Genomic DNA, 6,154 nt, shown 5'->3' on the forward strand with positions numbered 1-6,154 from the left:
TGAGCATGAAGTGGTGTTGGCCTGTCACTCTCCGCCCCAACAGCCTCTACTACCTTATATGCTCAGACATCTCCTCCAGGGCACAATGCGCAGAGCAACGGGGGCCAGGACAGGGGCCCTAAGGACACCTCCCTGGGGCTCCCAGCCCCCACTCCACCACTCGACCTCTGGCAAGCAACTAATCTCTGCAAACGTCACTTTTCTCTTCTGCGAGATGGAAGTAATTATAGTACCCACTTTCCAGGGCTACTGTGAGGACCACACAATCCACATAAAGTACTACTGACCATGCTCGGCAAATACGAAGAGCCCCTAAGGGTTGCTGTGGTGGTTCTGACCATTTTTACTTCACGCTGGGAACTAGCCAAAGTGGACAAATGTTGATGATCAAGCTGTCAACTTGGAAGTGAAGGCGGTTGGTACCAGGAGAGCCGCCAGGGGGCAGCTACTCTGTGGCAGAATCTGGGCCTCACAGGCCTGATGACCTAGAACCAACTAACCAAGCCCCAGAGACCCTGCTTACCTGCGCTCCGCACTGCCCCGCACCCCTCCCAGCTCACCTGCGCTCCGCACTGCCCCGCAACCCCCCCCACCCCGCTCACCTGCGCTCCGCACTGCCCCGCACCCCTCCCGGCTCACCAGCGCTCCGCACTGCCCCGCACCCCTCCCCGCTCACCTGCGCTCCGCACTGCCCCGCACCCCTCCCGGCTCACCAGCGCTCCGCACTGCCCCGCACCCCTCCCCGCTCACCTGCGCTCCGCACTGCCCCGCACCCCTTCCCGCTCACCTGCAGTCCGCACTGCCCCGCACCCCTCCCCGCTCACCTGCAGTCCGCACTGCCCCACACCCCTCCCGGCTCACCTGCGCTCCGCACTGCCCCGCACCCCTCCCGGCTCACCTGCAGTCCGCACTGCCCCGCACCCCTCCCGGCTCACCTGCCCTCCGCACTGCCCCACACCCCTCCCGGCTCACCTGCGCTCCGCACTGCCCCGCACCCCTCCCCGCTCACCTGCAGTCCGCACTGCCCCGCACCCCTCCCGGCTCACCTGCAGTCCGCACTGCCCCGCACCCCTCCCCGCTCACCTGCAGTCCGCACTGCCCCGCACCCCTCCCGGCTCACCTGCAGTCCGCACTGCCCCGCACCCCTCCCCGCTCACCTGCAGTCCGCACTGCCCCGCACCCCTCCCGGCTCACCTGCAGTCCGCACCCCTCCCCGCTCACCTGCGGTCCGCACTGCCCCGCACCCCTCCCGGCTCACCTGCAGTCCGCACTGCCCCGCACCCCTCCCGGCTCACCTGCAGTCCGCACTGCCCCGCACCCCTCCCGGCTCACCTGCAGTCCGCACTGCCCCGCACCCCTCCCCGCTCACCTGTAGTCCGCACTGCCCCGCACCCCTCCCCGCTCACCTGCCCTCCGCACTGCCCCGCACCCCTCCCTGCTTACCTGCGCTCTGCACTGCCCCGCACCCCTCCCTGCTTACCTGCGCTCTGCACTGCCCCGCACCCCTCCCTGGGTGAGCGCAGGCCCCGCACCCCTCCCTGGGTGAGCGCAGCCACCGCACTTCAGGCTCTGGGTCCAGGAGAGGTACAAAGAAGCAAGGATGACAGAACCCTGGTGGCTAAGAGAACAGCACAGAGCTGCAGAGGCTGGTGCCCTCAGTCACATGGCCAAGAGAACAGCACGGAGCTTCAGAGGCTGGTGCCCTCAGTCACAAGTCCTATGTGGGAAGAGGGTCGGCTACAAGGCTGGCTCGCCACAGCAACCTAAGGGTCTACTTTTTTTTGAGATAGAGTCTCGCTCTGTCGTCCAGGCTGGAGTGCAGTGGTGCAATCTTAGCTCACTGCAGCCTCCACCTCCCAGGTTCAAGTGATTCTCCTGCCTCAGCCTCCTGAGCAGCTGGGATTACAGGCACGCGCCACCATGCCCAGCTAGTTTTTGTATTTTCAGTAGAGATGGGGTTTTGCCATGTTGGTCAGGCTGGTTTCGAACTCCTGACTTCGGGTGATCTGCCCACCTCGGCCTCCCAAAGTGCTGGGATTACAGGCGTGAGCCGTCGTGCCCGGCCCGGTCTACTTTTAAGATCAGTCTAAGGCTGGGCACATTATCTCATGCCTGTCGTCCCAGCACTCTGGGAGGCCTAGGCCAGGGGGATCACGTAGGCCCAGGAGTTCAAGGCTGCAGTGAGTCGTGATCGCTCCACTGCACTCAACATGGGCGACAGAGCCAGACTCTTTTCAATAAAAGAAAATGATCTCAAGTGTACCCTGCGGAGGACACATGGGGCCAGCATGCGGCCTCCCCTGCCACTGAGCCCACCTTGGAGACATGGGGCCTTCCTGCCACTGAGCCCACCTGGGAGGGTTTCTGAAACTTGCAACCAAGAGTCTTGCTTGTACCACATGATTCTGCAACTGTCAGTCAGTACCAAATATTCACAGTGCCCTCACCCAGTCCAGAACATTCTTTTTTCTTTTCTTTTTTTTTTGGTGAGACGGAGATTTACTCTTGTTGCCCAGGCTGGAGTGCAATGGCGTGATCTTGGCTCACCGCATCCTCCACCTCCCAGGTTCAAGCGATTCTCCTGCCTCAGCCTCCTGAGTAGCTGGGACTACAGGCATGTGTCACCACACCCGGCTAATTTTGTATTTTTAGTAGAGACGGGTTTCCCCGTGTTGCCCAGGCTGATCTCGAACTCCCGATCTCAGGTAATCCACCCGCCTCGGCCTCCCAAAGTGCTGGGATCACAGGCGTGAGCCACTGCGCCCGGCCCAGAACATTCTAAGTAAGTGAAGGGAGGAAGCCTCCAAAAGCCATGTCAAGGAGGAAGAAGGGTGGAGAGTCAGGACCACACACAAGTGGCCCTGGGGGTGGGAGTAGGCTGTGCCCTCCCCATTCCTTAGGCCAGAGCTTGACCCCCAAGGCTCCTGAGCGGGCCCAGCCACTCAGCTAACACTGCGCATGGCACACAAGGGCTGCGGGCTGGCTCAAATTACATACAACACCCAACCAAACGCACGAGGCGGGTTACGCTTAAACCATACGACGGCTGTGCGGCATCGTTTTCTTTTCTGCCTCAATTTATCTCACTAGCAGTAACCCCGAGTTCAAGTCAGCCACACAGGGAAGGTGGATTTCCCTGCAGTCAGGGCACCACAGGCTCCACTTCAGAAGCAACGGCACGCAGAACCCAAAACAAAGAACACACAGCATACACCTGCCCTGGGCATCTCTGACATGGTTGGTGCTCCTGATAATCTGCCTTTTAAAAAAGTGAAGACTAGCTAGGTGCAGCAGCACATGCCTGTAAGCCCAGCTACTCGGGAGGCCGAGGCAGGAAGATCCAGAGCCCAGTTCAAATCCATCCTGAGTAACAGCAAGACCTCGTCTCTTAAATTAAAAAAAAAAAAAGGAAGATGACAGAACAAATTTGAAGAAATTAGAAAGCTATCTGGTTCCACAGTTCTACCTAAAAACCCATTCACACCACAAGTCCAAATTCCTAAAAGCTATGAAAACCATTTTTTCCTAACTCACTTGACAGCAAATCCTGGTCTATCATAATAACCTCATTTGGGATAAAACCTGACATGAACTGATATGGGGTTAATTACAGACTTTAATTATCCCACAGTGAGAATATTTATTCATTTAATTACAGAAATATTAATGTATTCAATTACAGAATACTTTCCCAAGTCTTCTGGGAGTATCCCACGATATACAGGTTATATGCTGCAATGACCATTCTGAAACCTGAAAAATTCTGGAAGTGTAAACATCTGTACTCAAGGGTTCAGATTACCAGCCATCACCATGTTTACACAAGACAGCCTAAACTCCCATAGCCTATGTTCTAAGGTTGCTGTTCAGACAAAACTTAATTAAGTATGTTTATATAAAATACTTAATTCAGCTTTCACACTCTGTTTCAGTTCAAAGAGGCTTCAAAGTACTTAGGAGGCTGCAGGCCACCTATTAAGTTTACAAGGAGGAAATCTACAGCTCCTAATTGCATTGGTTATTTTTATCTCCTGACTTGCCTAGATAGCAAAGGGAAACAAGTTCTTTTGCACAACCTCAGCAGCTGCCCACATTTCCTTGTTCTTCTTCCTGGGTGCTAAGTGACCCACAAGCTTCTTTCTTTATACGAATCTTCCTCTCCGGGCCCCAGTGAGGGTGCATTCTCCATCCCTCCCACCAAGATCCGTGCCATCTTCTGCTTGGCCCCTTCCCAAAGCTCACACTGTCTGTACCACCCCTAAGGATCTGTCCCTGTGCTGCCTCTGTCTCTCCACCCCTTGAGCACAAGTCTGAAGTTCCAGAAAGCAAGTCCTGTCCACAATAAACTTCTTAAAGAATGAAGATAACCACCTAGTATTTTCAGAATAAATGATTTGATCTGAGAGAAATCTTCCAACTGATGTGAAAGAATATCACACTTCAGCCCCCACTTCTGAAAGAAGAGCTTAGACTTTCTGACCAAATCATACCCAAAATCTGTTTGGTTTTGACCACAATGGAGACAAAGTGTGTGATAATGCTACAGTCAAAATGTCTCCGCAGGCCTTTTGTGATAATCAGAATTCTGGGATAGTCTCCTGTCTGGTCACAGAGCAGGCACCTGGACAGGCTAACCCTCCAGCCCTGAGAGGTACCAGGGAGCTGGTGAGGGTGAGGGCTTTTGTGTCGCTTCACTCCCTCTCCCTGTGCCAATACAGCAGAATAGAGTTACGCTTCCGCACCCAAGTCAACTGTGTTTAGCCCATAAACTTCACAGCCAGTGAAATATGACACACCTCCAGGCACCACTGGACAAAAAATGTAAGGAAAATCCACAAGAGAGAATGGGACCCACTGGCACTGGTGATCGATTCCGTGTGAACGGAGAGGACATCCAGGGAGCTAGAAATAGCATGCAGAGACAAAACTGACTCAAGACTGACTCAAGAGGACTTAAGCCGAGTGACCTGTCCACTCTGCAAGTTCTATATAGGTCACAACCACTGGCTCTGCTTCCTGTACTACACACGGAATCACACGAGTAGATGTTCACCGGGAAGAGAAACACTGAGGTGTTGAAAGACGAAGGGGGATCACGAGACACAGCCCAGTCTACCCTCGGCCAACCCCCCCACCCCCCAGGCTACAACCGCAACTACCTGCAACACGTGTGCACCCACCAACTCTCAAGTTCCCTGGACTGTAGAAGAACCAGCCCTAACCTCCAAAGTCCAGTCCTGTCCCTGCCTGCTCAATAACCCCAGATGTCCGGCAAAAGGCCAAGGCTTAAACCCACCTCCTGCACCGCTCACCTCCTGACTCCAGCTGTCGGCCTTCTAGGCACCGTCCCTCAGTCTCCGCTGTGGGTCCCCACCCAAGCTCCCTGCCTGCCACCATCCCCCACCTCACCGTAACATCTTCCCCCACCCACCCTGAGGGGGTTCCCCAAGCCCCAGGCCTTGCTCCGACTTGACCCTACTCTTATGACAAGAAAGTACCCCGACCCGGTCCCAGCCTCGCCCTCCGCAATCACCGCCAGCAGGCACTCACCTACGCCCGCGCTATGACCTTCGCCTGGCCCTGACCCACGCCCTCGGCAGAGACCCTCCCCTGGCCGACCCTGACCCACGATCCCGCTGGGACCCTCCCCAGCCCTAACCCACGCCCTTCCACTCCGGGCTGACGCTGCCCCCAGCGTCCCGGAGACAACACTCCGCGGCCGCACCCGCGCTGCCGACCCGGGGCCTCACCTTCGGCCAGGACCCGCCGCACCCGCAGCCGCAGCTCGCCCAGTTCCACCGTCTGCCCCACGAAGTCACTCTGGTCGCGGCCGGAAGCACCGCCCAGGGAGCCTGGACCCGCCAAGAAGTCGAGCGCCGACTGCAGCAGCGACATGGCGGTGGCTGCGCCGCACCCCGCGGCAGCCGGAGTGGTCGGGCTCGGGCTCCCGCTCCCTCGCCGTCCGGGTCAGCTCAGCAACCGCCGGCCCGGAGGTGCACCATCTTCCGCCTCGACGCCGTGACGTAGGCGCCCGTGAGGACGCGTCGCGTCAGGCGGCGACCCGGCCTAGCCCCGTCCCCTCCGCCGCGGCCTCACTTCCTGGCTGCGCGCGCAGGCGCGGAGGTCTGACGGAGACAGCGCGTGCGCGGCGTCG

At 57.5% G+C, this 6,154-nt stretch overlaps 1 protein-coding gene across 37 annotated transcripts in view, besides 1 other annotated feature; it reads right to left on the bottom strand.

The window, feature by feature from the left end:
* The window catches only part of GAK (cyclin G associated kinase), an 83,040-nt gene extending 77,016 nt beyond the window's left edge, over nt 1–6,024 (bottom strand). For all 37 annotated transcript variants that reach the window (XM_047450032.1, XM_047450022.1, XM_047450019.1 and 34 more), the window contains exon 1: nt 5,751–6,024. In XM_047450032.1, the coding sequence (XP_047305988.1) occupies nt 5,751–5,895 (145 nt within the window). In that variant the 5' untranslated portion in view covers nt 5,896–6,024. The remainder of the gene's footprint in view (nt 1–5,750) is intronic.
* Nucleotides 5,810–6,129: a silencer, noted in NCBI's record as "silent region_15113". NCBI's record gives its function as "represses an Ori minimal core promoter by ATAC-STARR-seq in GM12878 lymphoblastoid cells {active_cell/tissue: GM12878}" and the evidence as "EXISTENCE:reporter gene assay evidence [ECO:0000049][PMID:35858748]".

The sequence above is a fragment of the Homo sapiens genome, chromosome 4 (assembly GCF_000001405.40).
Source record: "Homo sapiens chromosome 4, GRCh38.p14 Primary Assembly".
Lineage (NCBI taxonomy): Eukaryota > Metazoa > Chordata > Mammalia > Primates > Hominidae > Homo > Homo sapiens.